The 19985-nt window shown below is 38.5% G+C and overlaps 1 protein-coding gene across 8 annotated transcripts in view, besides 1 other annotated feature; it reads left to right on the top strand.

The window, feature by feature from the left end:
• Window positions 1–19985, top strand: part of DGKI (diacylglycerol kinase iota) — a 465938-nt gene that overhangs the window by 352846 nt on the left and 93107 nt on the right. For 4 of the 8 annotated variants that reach the window (XM_047421021.1, XM_047421020.1, NM_001321710.2 and 1 more), the window contains 3 exons: window positions 293–346; window positions 6440–6519; window positions 8711–8755. In XM_047421021.1, coding sequence (XP_047276977.1) covers window positions 293–346; window positions 6440–6519; window positions 8711–8755 — 179 coding nt within the window. The remainder of the gene's footprint in view (window positions 1–292; window positions 347–6439; window positions 6520–8710; window positions 8756–19985) is intronic. The other 4 variants (XM_047421022.1, NM_001321708.2, NM_001388092.1 and 1 more) reach the window with 1 other exon arrangement.
• Window positions 1035–1535: an enhancer, noted in NCBI's record as "H3K4me1 hESC enhancer chr7:137177340-137177840 (GRCh37/hg19 assembly coordinates)". NCBI's record gives its function as "activates a minimal SCP1, AML or CMV promoter by ChIP-STARR-seq in primed H9 embryonic stem cells {active_cell/tissue: H9 hESC(primed)}" and the evidence as "EXISTENCE:reporter gene assay evidence [ECO:0000049][PMID:30033119]".

Below are 19985 nucleotides of genomic sequence, written 5' to 3'. Positions count from 1 at the left end.
TTTTTTTTGCTTCATATTTGTCTGAGTTATTCTGGAGGACTGGTCTTCATGCTCTGAGATTCCTCAGCTGGTCAATTCTGCTGTTAATAACTTGCAGTTGTATTCTGAAATTCTTGAGTTTTTTAGCTCTAGCATCTCAATTTAGTTATTTCTTAAAATGGTCATTTCATCTTTCATCTGCTGTATCATTTTATTGTATTCTTTAGAATTTTTGGATTGGGTGTTAACTTTCTCCTGAATCTCGATGATCTTCATTCCTGTCCATATTCTGATTCTATTTCTGTCATTTCAGCTATTTCAGACTGGTTAAGAACCATTGCTGGGGAACTAGTGCAGTCATTTGGAGGTAAGAAGACTCTCTGGCTTTTTGAGTTGCCAGAGTTCTCGCGCTGGTTCTTTTTCATCTTTGTGGGCTGATTTTCCTTCAGTCTTTGAAGTTGCTATCTTTTAGATGTTTTTTTGGTTTTTGTTTGCTTTCATTTTCTTTGGTGTTGTTGGGTGTTTGATTATGGTATAAGGTGGGTTTGGTCAACTGGCTTCATTTCTGGAATATTTTAGGGGGCCAATGCTCAGCTCAACACTCCTGAGCTGTGTGCTTTAACTCTGGTGGGCTCATTTTGGGCCCCCTGCTTTCATCTCTGGCTCCTCAGGGTTAGGAACCTGTTGCCTTGATGGGCAGTGACAGCCAAAGAGCTTCACTGGGTGGTGGAAGTAAGATCTGTGCTCATTTGTACATGCCAGAAGCAACAGCAGTGTGATGACATGCATGCTCATCAGCTGGAGTGGGGCCCTGGTGAGCCAGGGGCTTCCAGCCTCCATACAGGCATTTGCAAGTGGCAGTAATAGTGGGTGCGATGGGGCACTGGCGGGTGTGGGGCTGGTGGTCTCCATGTGTGCATTCACACTGGAGGCAATGGCAACATAGGGCAGGGAGTGGGGCTACTGATCTTCATTTGAGTACTGGTGCTAACAGTGGTGGTACAGCTGGGTGGATGGGGGCAGGTTGCGCTCATGCTGGCAGCAGTGGCACAGTGGGTCGTAGATACGTCCCAGCAGGGAAGGGTAGGCAAGGTCTGCTGGCACACACACACTGGCAAAATGGTATGGGGGTGGCCTTGGATGAGTGCATGCCAGCAAAGTGGTACAGAGGATGCTGCAGTGGTGGGAGGGTGCGGGTGGGCTGATGTGCCTTGGCAGAGGCCACTGGGCTGGAGCTATTTGATTGTCAGGCACAGTCAGCCAGCGCAGGAGCTATTATGCATGTCCCTGGGAGACACCCCAGTTAGGCATCTGCGGCTGCACTGCAAGCAGGAGATGCCAGCATACAGGGGTCACTCAGGTCAGACTGGCCCTGCTCTGTTCAGGTCTGACAGTTTGCCTAAGGCTAAAGTTTCCTAGGGGAGCATGGGACGCCTTGGGGATGGGTATCCCTGGTCATGCTTCACTGTGGACATTGCTGCACCAAACCCTCTGGGCTCCACACTGGCTGGAGCCCTGCCCTTACCACCTCTCTAAGCAACTATCCCTTCCAGCTTAAGTTTCTGTGGGGGTCTTGTGGTCTCCTCCTGCCAGGATTCTATAAGTCCATGGTGAGAGTATGTCATTCCTTCCCTGCTCAACTCACCACTACCCCAGGGGTTACTGAGGGCCAGGAACTGATGAATGGTAGCCCCTGCAGGGTTTCCAGCTTCCTCCCCCTTAAACCCAGCATCTGTGTCCTTTCTCTAGCCATTCTCAATACCTTCCTTCTGAAGATCTGCTTAGAGTGTGCCAGTCTTCCTGATGTCCTGGTCTCTCGATGGCAGATGTTCCTTCTGGCTGTGTCTGTTCAGCTATCTTGCCTGGAGGATCCTGTTTATTTTGATCTTTGGCTTCTGCATTAGAAAAATTTCTCAATTTTCTGATCACTTTTGCCTTTCTCTTCATTATTAAAAGTGGGAAACATAAAAGCTGCCTGGAAGTTCTGAGCTCATGCATAAAGCTTATTGACTTCAAGCTTCGATGTGGGGGAACTGAGTGAACTGTTTCTTGGGAATGATGAATCAGTGCTGTCTTTAGACCTATGGAAGAGGTGCTTCAGCTTTCGATGTCCTAGATATGTCCCATTTCTGGCTTTGCCCTGCTTCATGGGATGATTTGTCTAAAGTGCTAAGGAAAAGGGCTCATCTAGGGATTTCTCTACCCTTTTCTAGACTGTGCTTTGGATTCTTAGAATTCCTGCCCCAACAGCTCCAGACCTGCTTCTAGGATCTGCGTAGGCCTCTTCTTCTGGTCTAGTCTCACAGGAGTCATGTAGAGTGGGCATAGGACTAAGGAAGGCCCTTTGGGGCAGCAGTTTGCATGGGCTTTGGAGAAAGTTTGGGGATGTGGTCTGTAGTATCTGTATACATAAGCACAAGTTCTTTCATGTTTTGAACATCCATGGAGTGGAAAGAGAAGGAGGTCTAACTATGGACCACAAGCACTATGTTTTGTTCTAATACTCCTTGGAGTACAAGAATTATGAGTTTCAGCATCTCATTTAGGTAACTACAAAGGAATATTTATCAGGATAGGAAGATAGAACATATTTCATTTAACAGTTTTGGGGATTAACATTAAACTTATAAATATCTAGAAATATGGAATGCAGGTCTTTATGTTCTTGCCTTGAGCCTTATAAATGTTGGTAGTGGGCCTGTTCTCATGTTAATATATTTCCTCATGGTTTTGTCAGATTCCATTGAGATGAGTTTTCCAATGTTTTTCCTAGAAAGTAAGGTTCTGGCTGCCAGCTTTTGGGGAATTCAGGGTGGGAAGAAAACTGGGGATCACTGCAGTCTTCAGATGATCAATTAATCTTCATTTTCTGTAAGGTAACTGTGCCTTTCCACAATGGGTGGTGGATATCTGGTGATCTAACATCCAGTGCTTCTATCTTAACCACCTCCTTTAACCTCAGCTCCTGAGGCACCCGGTACTGCCAGTTTGCAAGCCTTTTGAGGGTTTTGCAGTAGAAATTATTTTGGTTCATGTCTATACCCACTAGTGGTTTAGGATTTGACTCTCTAAGGGCTCTGAGTCAGTTGCCAATTTTTCATCTACTTCATCTGTTATTTTATCCTTATTTTTGTTGATTTCTTTTAAAAATCTATTTATTGTAGGTTAGTAGTATTTCTGGTGAGAGATTAATATGTGCATGAAATATGCCATCTTATTCTGGAACACAGCTTGTTCTTTTCACTTAGTTAGAACTTGTGAATTCCATTTAATCCCTGCAATAAAAGTTCCATTGTGAAGGTTGAGTATTAACTCATGCTTCCTGGACTTAAACAAAGTCTCTGCTACCAAAATAAGATGAATTGTTGAGCTCAGGGATAGTGACACTGGTGCTCAGGTGATAAGTGCTCTCACTACTCCTAAGTAAAATAGAGGAAATGTCAAGGAAGCTTGGCAGTTGGTTAACCATAGTGTAGAAGGAAGGTGGTAATTTTTGAAAAGTTTCTGCTTTTTCTTCGCCATGTAAAGGCCCAAATGGAAGTGTCAGATTACAATATTTTTCTACTACGTTGTTTTTTTACATGGCAGGAAGAGTAGAAGTTAGTTTTTAGAAAACTGGCATATAACTTACGAAACTACTGCTAGCTAATCCTTGTAGTACTATGCTAAATTAAAAGATAGATGATTGGGTATGTCTGTTTTCTGGCTAAAGATGCTCAAAAGATAGTGAAAAGAGTAAGGGAGAATAAAAATTGATGTTTTGATAATTTATTTTTAAATATAGTGTTGTATTGAGTCTTTACAAAAATCCTGTATGACATCTATTCTAAACACCGTAGTCTTTAAACCAAGGCTCAGAAGAATTGACTAAGTAGCTAAGTTGAGTAATTTGCAAGACCAAAGCAATACTGGGATTTAAACCCAGCAGTGGATGACTGCAAATCCTTTCTACTGCATATTGCCACCTTCTTGGAATAAATTTGACAGTTGTTGGTAATCGTGTTATAAAATTGTGGTAGAGAATGCCCTTTTTTCTTTCTTTTCTCCTCGCAATTAACAGCTAAGTATTGCTCAATCAAAAGCAGTTACTCTTACTTTGCTCCTTGAAGAACAGGCAAAGTTGTTGATTTTATACCCATATTAGAGATGAATGACACATGTTTGAAAACTTCTTTTTAGCTATTCCTCTTGATTCCATATCTTGAATATACAATCTCTAATTGTAGTTTAAAATGTCTGCTATGAAGTACATTGAATTTATACTTGGACCAGACTAACTCCAAACACTGATAATAGAAGGAAATCAGAGGTGTTGATGGGATTCCTGCGTATGTATAAAATATATCTCCTAACTTAAGTAAATGGATAAACATTGATTAAAATCTATTTTCTATTTTTGCACATTTAATATTAAAAGGAAATATTAAGCAAGATTCCAATGTGGATGCTTATGTTAATTATAGCTATATTCCACTTCCAGATTTATTATCTATGTCAAAATTCCAACTTTTCCTCATCATTCCTCAAATATTAGAAATTCTATTCTGCTCTTATCTTGGTGGATCAACTTATTTCCATCTTTATAGTAGGTCTAGCTGAAGATGATTACTCTAATCACTATTTTTAGGAGATCTCCTTATTGAATTTCCCTTCCATTTCCTGCAAAGATGCATGATTGCCATGCTGAAAACTTTTTGATGTTTCTGTTTATCTTTTAAAAGGAGGAGAAATATTCTTTTAGAATGATTATTACTCCCCCAAAGATATGACAGTTACAAGTGCTCCTTATCCTCTACTGACTGTCTTTTGCTTACCTTGTTTCTTGTCTACCCTGGACAGGTGACTTGCACCTGAAAGACAGACTTTCTCTTTTGCATCCAAACAGTCGTTAAGCCCATCTTCCTCCCTCTTTTTATACTCATTTATTGAATATCTACCATTTCTTTACTAGGCATTGGGGAAGTGAAGGTAAACAATCCACACTCACTCACAGGCTTCCATAGTTCCACAAAATCATGGATGCCTTAAAGATTTATGTATGCAGGACTTTAGAAACATAAGGGAATGGGGTGGTGGGATTGATTAGGTCTCCCTAGCAGAAACCAATCTAGGAGGTAACATTGAGATACAAACTCTATTTCTTTTTCTCTAGACCACCTTTACTCCTCTAGCTAAAACGTCAAGTGAGGCTTCATGTTCTTCAGAGAGCCTAAAATCTACCCCTTCACCCAGGCAAGAATTAGCCCCTCTTTCCTATAGTTTTCAAATGACTAAGTTAATACATTTAATACGGCCTGTGTTATACTTATCATTTTTTTGTTTATATATATGCCTTCTCTACTACGTGGAGATTCTTCAAGGTTTTTTATGCATTTTAAATCTTCTTCTGTGTATTATGAATTTTTAAGGCCCTAGTACTTTGTATTTTCAGACAGATTTATGGATGATGGCTTTAAATATACACTCAATGAGTGAACGATTGTAAAAAATTCTTAGAGAACACCACTGTCTTATCATTTGCTTGCTACTTACCAGTTGGTTAATTCAAAATTTTGAAGGTTTTATGTTAGATCATGGATTTAATCGTGTAATTGTACTTTTAAAATGAGAAATTTGTAGATTTTTTTTTAAGTTTTGGAAAGAAGACTATTTTTCAGTATTTCAGGACTCTTGTGATTCTATCTGAAGTAGGTTCTATACACTAAAGCCACTGTGTGTGTTTGACACTACCTAAGTAGGATATTTTATAAGGTGCATAACTTAGTCTTGTCTTATTGTTTTCTGAGGTCCTACTGTTACCACTCTTACATTGGCCATCCTTAAAATTAGTTGGATTTTTTAAGCTTTGCCTCTTCTAGAAGCTGTTTTTTGTTCTTTTCTTTCTAACATTTTATGCCTTTAGTTCTGATATTGGCCACCAGGTAGCAACAGTGCCTTGAGTAGCTCAAGTCTCATAAATAGGAAACTGTTGTAGACAGACAAAAAGATGAAGTTGTCTGCATTCAGGAAGGAAGGAGTAAGTGTCCAGAATCCTCAATGTTTAATTCCCCCGGCACTGCATCCTCATGTTGTCTATTGCAAATGCAAGCATAAATTTAGGCATAAGCATAAAAAATGCAAGCATAATTATCAACTGTCCATGAGCAGCCTCCCTGTTCTGCCAATCCATCGTTACTGCGACAATTCACTTCATCTCAGGGCCAGTGAAACACAATGAGATGAGGGGCAGGTGGCAAGGGGCAACATGGATCATGCTAGGAAAGTGTGTGACAACTGCAAACAAGAAGAGACTGAAATAATAAAAAAGGTGTAGGGAGAAAGTACTTCTTTCTTTTTACGGACATATCTAAAAAACCCATAATATTTATGAGATTGTTTTTTAACCACGAGAAACACATTTATGCTGATATAGAAAAATCAAATATGTTATTTTAGATTTTTCTTCTTCCTTCACCCTTAGCGATACCTCTGGGTATTCTAGTTGTGCGTGGAGACTGTGATTTGGAGACTTGCCGTATGTACATAGACCGCCTACAGGAGGTGAGTTTATTTAGCCAATTTTTTATTCTCCTCAACTTTCCATTTTTGTAAACAATTACCAGCCATATATATTTGCTTCTGAAATGATGCATTTGGAGAGGAAGTGGAAATGTGGTGGCTTTGTCCTTCAAGCATACGCTGTATGTCACCCTCTCCCACTGTCTCTGTTGTTCACTCCTCAGATGGTTGAAATGGGAAAGCATTGACTACAGGGTGCTGTTGCCCTGGTGTGTTCCATAACTATAGCTTGGAACTTGTCATTTTACCAGACACATACCTGTATATTTGAGATGTTCAGAATTTCAACAGGGACTGATAAATAATGAAAGAAAACAGTGATATTTAATGTTTTGTGTCTGACACTTATGTCAGAGACAGCTAGATTTTGTAAACAAAAAAATAAATAAAACTTCTATGGGAAAGAAAAATCCTCTACATCTCATAGGAATTTGTCAGAACACAAAAGAATAATCTATTTTTTTTTCTCAATCTAGTCTTGCTTTAGAGAAACAGAAAGGAAGTGACCCCGTATATGGCACTCCCATAAATGTGAACTGCACCAGCAAAGCCAGGAGACCCAAACTCATCATTACAATTGTTGTTGGTTGTTTTTGCAAAAATTTGAGGGGGAGTCTTAACCGTCTCCATTCCACAAATTGCAAAAAGCATATATGACGATTTCTTTATCATTTTTTTTGATGAAAGATGTATATTAGAGTCACTTTTCTTGGGTGTGGCCTAGACATTTGTATTTTTAAAGCTGTTGGGTTGTCTTGATACCCCTTGATAAGCAATTCTGTCCCAGACAACATGTTATACATAGGTAAATATTGTAAATAAAGTAGACACATACTGTTTAAAATCCCTCTGAGTTGTAACCACTTCACCCTGAATATTTGATTCTGTTTCTCTTGGTAGAAATAAATTCAGGGGAGAGGCACATAGTGATGTGAAAAATTACTGATTTTGAGAAATAGATGACAAATATTGAATACTGATGTGGATGAGAGAAAGATGGTCAACAAATTTTACACTTACGGCTTCATTAAGCTATTTTGACTGAGGATAGCTGCTTAAACAAGTTAAAATACGTGAATTTTTAGTGACTCAGGTCCAATTCTGTTAATATGTTCCCAAACTTCTAGTATCTCATTTCCCAAAATAATGTTTGTATTTTGCTGTGGAATCTCACTCCAGAAACCTGTAATGAAAAAAATGAATCATAATTGGTACCAAACCTTTTTACCTTTTTTTAAAATTAACACATGTAGAGCTTTGTTAACAAGACTTCACAGTAGAATAATATTAATACACGATTGATGAATTGACTTTGTTAAAAACCAACTTAACTAACTTAATAGCATGCTTAATGCACCAATATTCAACTAAAAGTAGGATTTTTAAAAAAGAGGCAACTCAACAAATAAAGAGGAAAAATTTTTAAAACTAATGGAAAGTAATGTGATGAAACCCTGTGGGAAACAGGTGTAAGGACAAAGGTACCCAGGATTGCTGACATCTGTGAATAGAATCACTACACTCATTAGCAAGGAAGCCTAGGAGGCATGACAATGGTGACAAGTTCGTTATAAAACTTTATGAAAGGAGTCAGGCTTTCACAATCTGCCAGTAAAACCTCATTAATTTCAACCCTGTTAATTTGCACTTTGTGATAATGTGGAGGTGGTTGGTGATTTTCTCTTTGTAGTCTATGAAAACCCCTATTTGCTAAGCGACTTATCAGTATAAACAGTTACCATGACAGTATGTATCTGGTCTGAGGTAAAGAAAAGCTTTCTAAGTGTTTAAAGGGATTTCCAAAGCCTTCTTCACAAGCCAAAAGTTTATATGCACATTAAATATAATCCCCATTTATCAGAACAAAATTGCCTGTCTTTTACTTCTGGTCTCCTCTATAGGAGATTGAAATAATAATATAACACTTACTTTAAACACTATGTAGGACTTATAGGTTTCAACAGCTTAATGACCTTCTCTCAGTCCAGCTTGGTTTGATTTTATTATTTCTGGCATTACCTTCTTTATTTAACCTTTATGAATTTGGGTGTGTTCGATACTTTCCAGATGAGCATAGTAATATTAAATTGGGAGTTCAGTTGAGATTGAGTTGTGGGGCAGCTTGTTCAAACTAATTTTAAGGTATGGATTTTTTTTTTCATTTTCTCATTAGGACCTACAGTCAGTTTCTTCTGGCTCCCAGAGAGTTCATTACCAGGTAACAAATAATTGACTCTCCTTGTTTCTTACCTTCTGGCCAAATGAAGTCCATCTTTCAATTAATGTCTTATTTTGATTTAGAGTTCACATCTTCCCTAGGGATAGAGTTCATTCTAAGAATCTAGTGAAAATGGTATTCTGATTCTTTTGCATTTTCCTGATTTTGGACCAGCCTAGTCTAGCACAAATTTAGACTGTGGATTTTCTCCTAGATCATTTAGAAAAGATTATAAAATTGAGTGCTTTCAGTAACAAATACCAGAAAACTCAGCTGAAACTAGCTTAGCAAGGAAAGGGTCTCTTGGTTCACATAAGCAAAAAGTCCAGATCAAGGTGGATTTCTCATCCCATTTGGTCATGGCTCACACTCCACTTTCCTGCTGGTCCTTCTACTTTGTTCTCCTCTTCCTGTCAATTTTACCTCTGGGCTAGATGACTTTGTGGTCCAAGATGACTGCCATTAGCAACCAGGACTATGTTTTTTTCCATCATCTCCTGAAAAAGAGAATTACATGCTTCCTACAACCATCAAGCAACAGTTTTAAAATGTAATCTGAGTGGTTCATCCTGGGTCTTTTGGACAATCTAATAAACCCAGTCTGCATCTCTCTATGGCCCATATAAAGTCTGTAGGAGAACACTCAGTTATTCTTTATCCCAGCAGACTTTGGGGGTGCAGTTTCTTTCCAACTTCCCCATCCCACTTGTGATGCACAGATCTCTTCAGCCATCCTCTTATGCATTAGATTTCTCAGACATGATGTAGATCCTAGTACACAGTATTACTCCCGACTGCAAGGAGCCCAAACAAAGCTCTTTGACTGGTCTCATTAAAGCCCTTTTATCTGAAGGCTCCTTACCCTGCCCTGTTAAGAGGAAAGGTATGTGGGAATCACAGCATGCCAACAATTCTCTCCAAATAAATCTCTTCAAACCCTTCATACTTCCATGTGGGGAGGAATATAACTATGCCTAAATTTATAAATGTGAAAATCCTGGTTTAGCACTTCACTTTGGATTTTTGTGTCTATTTTCCCATGCCTGAAATTTCCAATTTAACATCCTTTAACATAAATAGAAAACACAATAATTTAAAGAAAAACCTATATCTTGTAGCCTTCTAGGTATTCCCCCTACCAATGATACCCTCTGTCCTTGGCTGAAGCAGCATATCTTCAGCCTTAATGACAGGAATGGCCTTTGTGTTCTTATTTGTGTATTTATTTCTCAAACAACGTATCCCACACTTCCAGAGTTCTTTCTTCCATCTGTCTGGCCTTGAAAGGAAGAAAAGTCACTTAGGATATGTTTACATTAAAAACAAAACAAAATGAACTTCTTCTAGACTGTTTTTACCAAACACTAGAAGACAAATTTCCACCAAATTTTTTAGATAGAGCACAACTTTCATCAGAGTGACTATTTGCATATTTACCCAGAGCCACTATCTTGGTGTAAATTTTATTTTAAAAAGCATAGTGCTTTCACAATAGCAAAGACATGGAATCAACCCAAATGCCCATCAACGATAGACTGGATAAAGAAAGTGTGGTACATATATACTATGGAATACTATGCAGCCATAAAAAGGAATGAGATCACGTTCTTTGCACTGACATGGATGGAGCCGGAAGCCATTATCCTCAGCAAACTTATGCAAGAACAGACAACCAAACACCACATGTTGTCACTTACAAGTGGTAGCTAAACAATGAGAACACATGGACACAGAGAGGGGAACAACACACACTAGGGCCTGTTGTAAGGGTGGGAAGAAGGAGAGCATTAGGAATAATAGCTAATACATGCTGGTTTTAATACCTAGGGTATGGGTTGATGGGTGCAGCAAACCACCATGGCACATGTTTACCTATGTAACAAACCTGCATATCCTGCACATGTACCCAAGAACTTAAAATAAAAATTAAAATAAAAAAAGCATAGTCCTTTTAAAGGTAAGAGCTGATCTCTAACAATTGGCAGTAGTAGTTATAAGACTATGAGGATATTGTCTTTAAGAGTTTATACTTTTTCCTCTTGGACATTTTGAACCTTTAAAACTTTATCAAAATATGTTAGATTTATCCTAGCTAGGTTTATGAAACTACTTTTATTTATTATTCCTGGCTTATACGATGTAGTCATTTTTGGTGTGAGAGTTAAAATTGTGGGTATTTTGTACCATATTTTTTTATGCCCTATCTGTAACTATTCATGGAGATCAACGGATGGATAAGATACTACAATATGAGTGAGTTATGTATTGCATGTATTGTTTGGTAATAACACTCAGAAGGATTAATGATATTTTTCTATGTCAAAATATTGCTGCATTATTTTGTTTACTTACAGTCAAGTCAAATCTTGGTGTCAAAACTGCTGCATTATAAATGCCACATCAAAAGGTTTTGTGTGCTGAACATCTAGGATAACGAATGCAGTGATCAGGGATGAGTGTCAGAGGTGTCACCTTTTCCCATATCCTTCCTTAGGACAAGGAAGGCGCAAGAAGAGTGATAAAAATCAGGGGACTTTGAGCATGAAGGAATGGTTGGAACAAAAAAGATCCAAGAAGCCCAGAATTTGCTCATTAAACAGGAAAGAAAAAGAGACTGTGTTAGAACTAACGTGGCCAGAGCACAGGGAGAAGCTAATGAGGAATTTCCTGAGCAGGGCAAGGAGAACTGGTTGAAGCACGAAGCTGGGAGAGATAAACTTTCATGTTTGGCCAAGATCATCAAAGGAGGAATGAGTTGGAGGCATAGGAAATAGAGTTCTGTGTTAGCCGTATTAGTTTTGATATGCCTGTTAGATCCAAGGGGGTTGGTGAGTAGGCAGTTGGGTATACGAATATTAAACCTCATTAAAAAATTCAGGCCCAGAGATAGAAATTTTGGAGTCATCAGCAAATGGATGAATGGTGCTTAAAACTACAAGGCCGGAGGAGATCACTTAGGGAGGAGTTCAGTTAAAGAGGAGGGCCCACTGTTCTATCTATGTTTATTCATGAGTCAAGAAGAGTGCAGGTTCAAGACAGCAACTGGTCAAGAAGAATCATGGAAACTGAGATAAGCAGCAGGGAAGCTGGAAATCAAGGAGAAGGTGGTATCACGAAAGCCAAGAGTGAAATGTATTTCAGAGAGGAAGGAGTAATGGACAGTGTCAAATGCCATTGAGAGGCTGAAAAGATATGGATTGATTTCCGTATTTTTTTCTAGGTGTGTGTATTATAAAACACATGGGATATAGGTGCTATTAATTTTTATGTAGAAAGTGACTGGCAGGAAATTTAATACTAAATCTTTTATTTCTTAGTGCAGAAACTGATTACATCAGAATTCCCTAGTTTGTCCCGGTGGGAGTAAGGAGTGTTATAGGTGAAAAAGAAACATGAACGACGAAATGCCTTAAATGCCTGTTAATGAAGTTTCTTGTCTATGAGATGACATTAAATATGCTTGGAGGATTAACTGTGAAGAGAATAAATTAATACCAGTATGTTTGAAAACTTGAGAAATTCCTGTCAGCTCACTAATTTGCAGCTAGGGTTTTAGCTGACTGTTTTCTAAGACCAGAAAAATCTCAAGAGAAAAGCAGCATTTAGAAAGGTGTACACGTGCCCAAGACACCTTATTAGTGAGCCATGTGGCAGTTTCTCGCCACTTAAGCATTTCATTGCTTTGGTTTCTTCCTTTTCCAAATGCATAGTGAATTGCCAACAAAGCACTGAAGCTCAAAAATGACACCTCATGTTAACCTAACAAGGTATTATGGGTTATACAAGAATGTGTTAGATATTTATAGCCTGTTGAAAATTCCTGCCTACACCATCTCTGAGGTCAAAATTCAAAGGCCCCTCCATCCTAATAGCATTGATGTAACCTGTAACTAATATGTTTTACAAGCAAAATGCATTGCACTTGCAGATTTAGGATATTCTTGAGGTTGCCAAATGAACAAGAATTAACATAAGAATTGGACTCTACCTGCTTATTTGATAAGGGTCCTTTCTGAGGCCACCTACTTTGAGATAATTCCTTCTCTGCTTCCTCCCTCGAAATCATGATATCCCTTCTTAACCCCAAATCACAAAGGTACTAAGGAATAGAGGCAGATGTGCCATTCTAGTGATTTCCAGCTGGGAAGAATTTGCTCCCTGTAGGGGACATTTGGCAAGGTCTGAAGACTTTGAAATCTGTTGGATAAAGGCCAAGGATGCTGTTAAACATCTTAGCGTGCACAGAGAAGCCTCCTACCATGAAGAATTATCCAGCCCCAAATGTCAATAGTGTAGAGCTTGAGGAACCCTGAGTCACTCTGACGGTTCTCAGTACATAAATGAGAACCCCAGATAGGTATAAGACCTAGATGAGGAAATGGAAAGGAGAAAGAGAGAAGAGGAACAAAAGAAAAGGTAGGGATGGAGAACAGAAGGAGGCATTTATAGATGTAGTAGGGTAGAATAAAGAGAGAACTAGGAGCAATTAGAGGGGTTTTTTTGTAGACACCCTGGGTTTCCCCATTTCCCCAGGGTGATTCTTTATGGGGCATTAAATGGTAGGAATTATAACTTGAGATTTTAGTGCATACCATAGGATTCACCTGTAGTTGCAAAAATAGATTCAACCAGGTGATTACTTTCTCTAAGAATTAACTCACTTAAAAATAGTACCAGAATGGTTGGAATATTTAAAAATAGAGAAAACATTATTGAAAAGCCTTTTCATTCTTCAGGGTGGTACAGATGTCTTTCACTTTCATAAGAAAAAAAAAAACAACCTCTTGGTCAGATCGGAGTCTACATTACTTGTTCCTCCTCTGATGTCCTTTGTTCCTACATGCCTGCTCTTCTGGAGGACCAGCCTATGTTGTATTCCATTAAAATTGTGTCTAGTTCTAGGCAAACAGCATTTTCCTATAAATATTTCATTCATCCCCTTTCTCTTTATTCTGGCTGTCCTTATTCATCTCTCTCCTTTCTCTGAAATCTCTTCCTCCTCCATTTGTTTTCTGGAGTCTAGAAGAGTCCTTCAATAGATAGAGTGGGACAAGGTTTAGAGAGTCTTCCTGGGAATTGATTTATCTTGTGTGAGAGAGGACAGTACCAGCTAGAAACTTTGGAGAATGCCATTCCTTTGGACTAGATTAAAGCTGTCAGAAATGGGTCAAATGAGGAATTAAATAAGACTTGCCTAGGGTCAGGTCTGTTGTCTCTTACGAGTGAAGACAGTACTGGAGTTGTCATTATTGCTAATGGAGAACTTTCTCACACAAAGGGACTCTTGAAAATGTTAGAATATTGCTTATTTCTATCTTCTACCCCACTGTCTTCATCTTCGAAATCTGGGTTGAAGAATGGCTATGCCATTTCTGTATTCCTCCACTGTAGGAGTCATGAGTGGTAAAGTAGGTTCGAGATGGAGGGGTTTTAAGATATTAAAATAAATAGTAGCAAACCTATTTGGGGCTGTAGTTAGACAGAGACACATACATACCTATTTGTATGCAACATTATGTTAAAAAAATGGATAGATGGCTTGTATGTGGGAGATGTTGGGGCAGACAGATGAGAATTTTGAATGGGTAATGAGAGAAATTTAAAAGTAAGGTGATTATTGATTGGCCATTATTAAATGAGGCAGGGATTCCCAAGCCATAGAACTTTTGTTTTGTTTCTGTTTATGTCTTTTCTCAATTTTATGAAAGAAAAAGAATTTCATTCACATTGAAGGCATAGTTCAACACTAGGTGAATATTGCTTAATTGGAAAACTTACTAGTGTGTGATGGGGCTGCTGTGCCTTCATTAAATTATGTGTGCATCAGCTATGAGCAATTGCATGTAAATTAAGGGTAACTTTGGCATATGCATGCCAAATAGTGGTTCAGATCATTTTCTCATCAATTTTATATAATTTGTGCCAGTTGGCTTTCAGAAATATATATATATATGAGGAATGTCAGTTTTGTGTTTGTGCATGTGCCTATATTTTTAGCACAAGAAACGTATTTTCCATTAATATATATCATAAGAGAAGATTCACGTATCAGGGATTTTTGAAATGAGCAGTTTTTGCTAATATTATTCATTTAAAGAGCATGTAATTTTAGAAGATTATTATATTTAAAATAGAAAGGAGCATGGTATATCTAAGGTTATGTCATTTGGCCTACATTACAGAGCAATGACAGTTGCATTCATCTAAATCACACCATTTATATGAAGAAAAGTCACAGATCCAAAATGGGCAAGTCAAGTATCTTATCTCTTTGATGAATCATTGATTTGATCATGCAATTTGAGAGGACTGGGGAGACTAGAGGCCCTAAATTACCATTGAAAGCTTTGGATATGATGGTTAGAGGCACAGCTCAGGGAAATATAGCTGCATTCATACAATCCTATTGCTTCAGTATCTACTGTCAGATGCTTTTGAAAGACGCATATTTTTAAGATTGTGTTTTTTCTCTCTATTGGAAAATAGGTCACTGTACATTTATTTAATGTGCAGCATTCACAAATCAAACACACTCTGACCATTTGTGTTCTTGTGTAGTGATGAGAACATCGCCAGGTCCAACCTAGAGCTTCCATGAAGCTAAGGTCTGTCCTGGAACCAATATTCACCCCCTTTCCAGGAGCCATTAGTTTTTCTTACTTCCTATTTCCTTCCAAGTCTAATTCACGGTCCACATTGCACTGCTTTTCACCCTTCTGCAGAGACTAGAGGATGCCCCTGAATCAAGGAATCCTTAATGCCAGGGCTACCCAGTCTACCAGTCTTCCAGACCCTCTGAGAACAGAGAAGGTGTTTACCTGATGTGAGCTGTGTGGATTAGTAACGAGAGTTACTTTAAACACTAATTAGAGAAAATTCAGTAATACCTGTCTATTAACATCACTATCACTCACTTACACTCCAATTATTATTATTTTTTTGAAGTACAAGAGAAAGGTGTATAGATAGACGTGATGCAGGAATTATTTGTACCCTGCGTACGGAAGAAACCCATTCATCTGTGTGGTCATGGTAGGTTAAGAATGTGCGAGCATAAAAAGTTTATGGACTATCGCGGTAAATTGTGAATTCCTGTCTGATATTCTGCTTCTCTTTATTCCTGCTCCATTTTTAACCCATACAATATGCATTTCTCTCTGATATCAAGGTCCTCATGGTATATCTCTTGACTTATATAAGCTATGTGTGTTCTGCAATCTGCCAGGTTTTATAATCTTGGTTTACCTCAGTTTTGATATTGTACGTAATTCTAGACTTCTGTTTGGTTTTTAACTCTCCACCCAATGTAGACCTTTATGGTGCGCATTTTTGTTTTCCTACATTTATACAAAGTTACGCACATAGACATACATGAATACATATGTGGGGATTGTTGTTTAAAAATACAAATGTAGCTGGGCGCAGTGGCTCATGCCTGTGATCTCAGCACTTTGGGAGGCCATCATGGGCAGATCGCTTGAGCCCAGCAGTTTGAGACCAGTCTGGGTAACATGGTGAAACCCCGTCTGTACAAAAAAACAACCCCAAAATTAGCCGGGCGCTGTAGCATGTGCCTGTAGTCCCAGCTACTTGGGCAGCTGAGGTGGGAGGATTGTTTGAGTCCAGGAGGCAGAGGATGCAGTGAGCTGAGATTGCACCACTGCACTCCCGCCTGGGTGACAGGGTGAGACCCTGTCTCAAAAAAAAATAAAAATTACACTAAAAATAAAACTGTGTTTACAATTTGCATGTGCACACTATACATATTATACCACAATTTATTTTTAACAGTAATGTACCATGGAAATTCATCTTGCTAATAGGTGAAACTCTAATTCAGTCTTTAAAAATTATCACTCTATTCCATGGTATATATTTAATGCTGTTTCTATGGATGGCATTTTTAGGTTGTGTAGTATTGTTGCCAATGTTTGCAAAATTCCAATAAACTTTATGGTACTTCAAAAATAAAATCATAACAGAAATGAAAACCATGCAACATGCTAAAAACATATTAAGATTGGCTATATTTGTGTGAAGATTATAAGTTACATAATGCATACAGCAAAGTTACCCAAAATCTGTAATTGGATTTTTCTTCACATGGTTGTAGTCTCGGTTCCTGTGTCTGGGTTGGGGTTGCCTGCCATTCCCATTGATTACCATATTTCTGTGGAATTCTTAGGCAGCAGGGAACACAGTGGTGGGAAGTGGGAAGAGAGCAAGACTGAAGAATGTGTGGGGGCAGGAACTCTGAGCTACCAGGAGCAAACTGTCTGGTAAGAAACAGGAAGCTTAGTTTGACATCTGTGTAAGATCCTTGACTAGAGTAGAATGAGATCTTCATAGCCATTTAGATCATTCTAGGTTTGCTTTCTTCCTGCTTTTGTTTGAGCTGAGTCTAGAAAATTCTGAGCTCTCAAACTTGATCTATACCAAACCTCACTCTTCCTTCAAAACCTGAAATCATAATTCCTCTAGAAGCTGTAAAACCCTGTGCATAAGGTCATGAGCTCTGAAGTAAAAGAAGTCTGTACTCTCCACCACTGAATAGCTTGGGGCTTCTGGGTAGTTTACTTAAATTCTCACCACTGCAGTTCTTTATTGTGGCCAGCTCTTACATGCAGGAGAAGAGGTTCAGGAAGAATAGTGGGGTGGATTGCAGGAGAGGTAGGTAGGAGCTAGATTATGCAGCCTTCTTAATAACAAAACGAAAAAAGCCTGCACATGCATAGAAGATTATGGGTTAAAATTAAGCTATTATTGAGACTGTAGCCTAATATTTCTAAATTATCTCTATGGCAGTGTCCAGGTAACCCTAAAACTAAGGGAGATGACTATGTGAGACTTGAACACTCCAATTGTGAATTCTGATAGTAACATATATGGCTGAGTGAAATTTTATCAAGTATAAATTATTCAGTAGATGAAATAAAAAATGGAATAGTCTAAGCTTTATTTAATCTATAGCCACCATTAATACAGAAGTAGAGCCATGTTTATGGGAAATTCTCAGAAGCAAAAAATGAGCACACCGTAAAAAGAAAAAAAAAGGAAAATTACCATCACCAAAATGTGGTTCAGTGATTTTTTGACAGCTTGTCCGGATTAGTGTTTCTTATCCTTCACTGCCAGACAGTGGAGATGAGTCAGGGCAGAAGCTGTAGGTGGAAGACTAAGAGTAGGGAGGAATGAACGAGAGCCAGAGTCAAGAGCTACCTGTTCTACTTGACATCGTGACAGCTGGCCTCTATGTAACGGGGTTGGATGACTCAGGATTGTATCTGCTGGCACTTCTTGGCCGTACGTCAGCACCAGGACTATTTGAAAACTACTGCTCCAGAACAAAGGTTTTTAGCCCCAAATTTGAGACTTTGAAAGGAAAGGGCTTTCTTAAATGTGAATTGAGCCTTCCATTTGGTTTGCCAACAATGAATTTATTCTGCTGTCTTCTATTTTTTTTTTTAATTACCAAGCTCTGATTCTTTTGGCAGCTGGCTCAAAATCCTTTTTCCAAAATTGGTGGCTGTTGGCAGTAGCCAGGAAATAAATTGAAATCGTAATTAAAATAGTCATCCATTGGGAAAAGAAGTTGAAACTTGGTAAATCAGACTTACAGTAACTCCAAGAATTGGAGCCAGAAAGAAGCATGCAGAGCACCTAGACTGGTTCCTAGTGTAGTGGCCACCCTTTAACGACATGGTCCATGCTTCGTTTTTTGTGACCTTCCGTCACATGCCTTGCATTTCATTGGCTTTAATAAATACACATTAAAAAGGTTGATCACAGTTGTATCACAGGAAAAAGAATAATGTATAGTTTTGTGACAACTGACAAATTAGCAAGTGACACGTTAATTTTGGTGAAACTAAGGAAATAGCAAGTAGGCAGTTACTATTGAATGGGGAAGGGAGACATCAGTAAAATAAAATGTTCCGAAATGTATGCTTGTTGGTGATAGAAGACATTCAGCCTTGAAGACAATATCCTGTATTTAAGACAATTATATAACATCTAATGTTGTGAACAGAGGCACTGGATTGCTGATTAAGACAAGCCCTATAAGCACCAAACCAACAAATGGCATGATTTCAGCCTTTGTTTAAAGCCACTCTGTTTTGTGTTCACTCATACAAATTTGTCCTATTTCTTTGTTTTCTCCAAAACTCAGAATCTGAGTGCAAATGTATTTATGGATAAATAGTGTTGTGTTAGGGGTAGCACCATCTAAATGATCTGGTCTGAAATGTGGCCTGTGTCCCATGAGACCCTCATGTGACTAAGGGCAGAATTGTTTTAGGTAAAATAATGTCTCAGCTGCCTAACATGAGATATAATTATCTCTCGCATAATTATATCTGCACATAAACATGTTTCGGCAAATGGGTTAAGCATTTTATGTGTCATTAATTCCTCAAAAGAACCCTTTATGATAGATATTATTGTAGCCATTTTAAAATGAGGTATTCAAGGAACTGGATAAGAAACTATCCTACACTCTCACAGCGAGTAGCGGGTAGGGCGCCAGGATTGTCGTGCCTCTCAAAGCTGGTGTGCTTCCCATCAGCCTTCCGCCGCCTCTGGGCTTGCTGCTTAATTGGGGCTGGATCCCATACAATCTCTCGCCTTGTTTTTCCATCTCATTCATCAGATCTGTCTCCCCTACGATATTTTAACACCTCAAGGACAGGAACATTTTTTGGCATCTCAATTCTTAGCTTGTCTGTGATAATGATGATCACATCCTACAACAATTTCAGTTTTGCGAAGCAGACTTTCTCACTATCTTTTTGCTCTGTTTTTCAACTCAAGTGAAATCCAGCATCCACCACCGCCACCTCAACCACCACCAACTTTTCTGTCCCTAGCCTGCTCTTCACCTCCTATTCTGTCTTGGATCTTTGAGATATATTTTCAGCACCCATTTATGCTTCGTACCTGGATTTTCTTGTTTCTTGTTTTACCGATTACTGGCATATTTTGTGGGTGTATTTTGCATATTGTCAATCTGTTATGTTGGAACATCATTTTAACATTGACTTCAAAAAAATCTCCAATTTTTAGTGTCCCGATGTAGGTGAAGCATTTTCATCTGCTTAGATATGTACATGGAATAGATTCAAGGGCAATTTTTTTTGAGACTTGATGCTTTTGTACATTTTATATATGTAGAATTTTTAAATAAGTAGTTTAGTTGCATTATGAATCTGCCCAGATAGTAATTACAGTT

The sequence above is a fragment of the Homo sapiens genome, chromosome 7 (assembly GCF_000001405.40).
Source record: "Homo sapiens chromosome 7, GRCh38.p14 Primary Assembly".
Lineage (NCBI taxonomy): Eukaryota > Metazoa > Chordata > Mammalia > Primates > Hominidae > Homo > Homo sapiens.
This window is presented reverse-complemented; position numbering and strand designations above follow the sequence as displayed.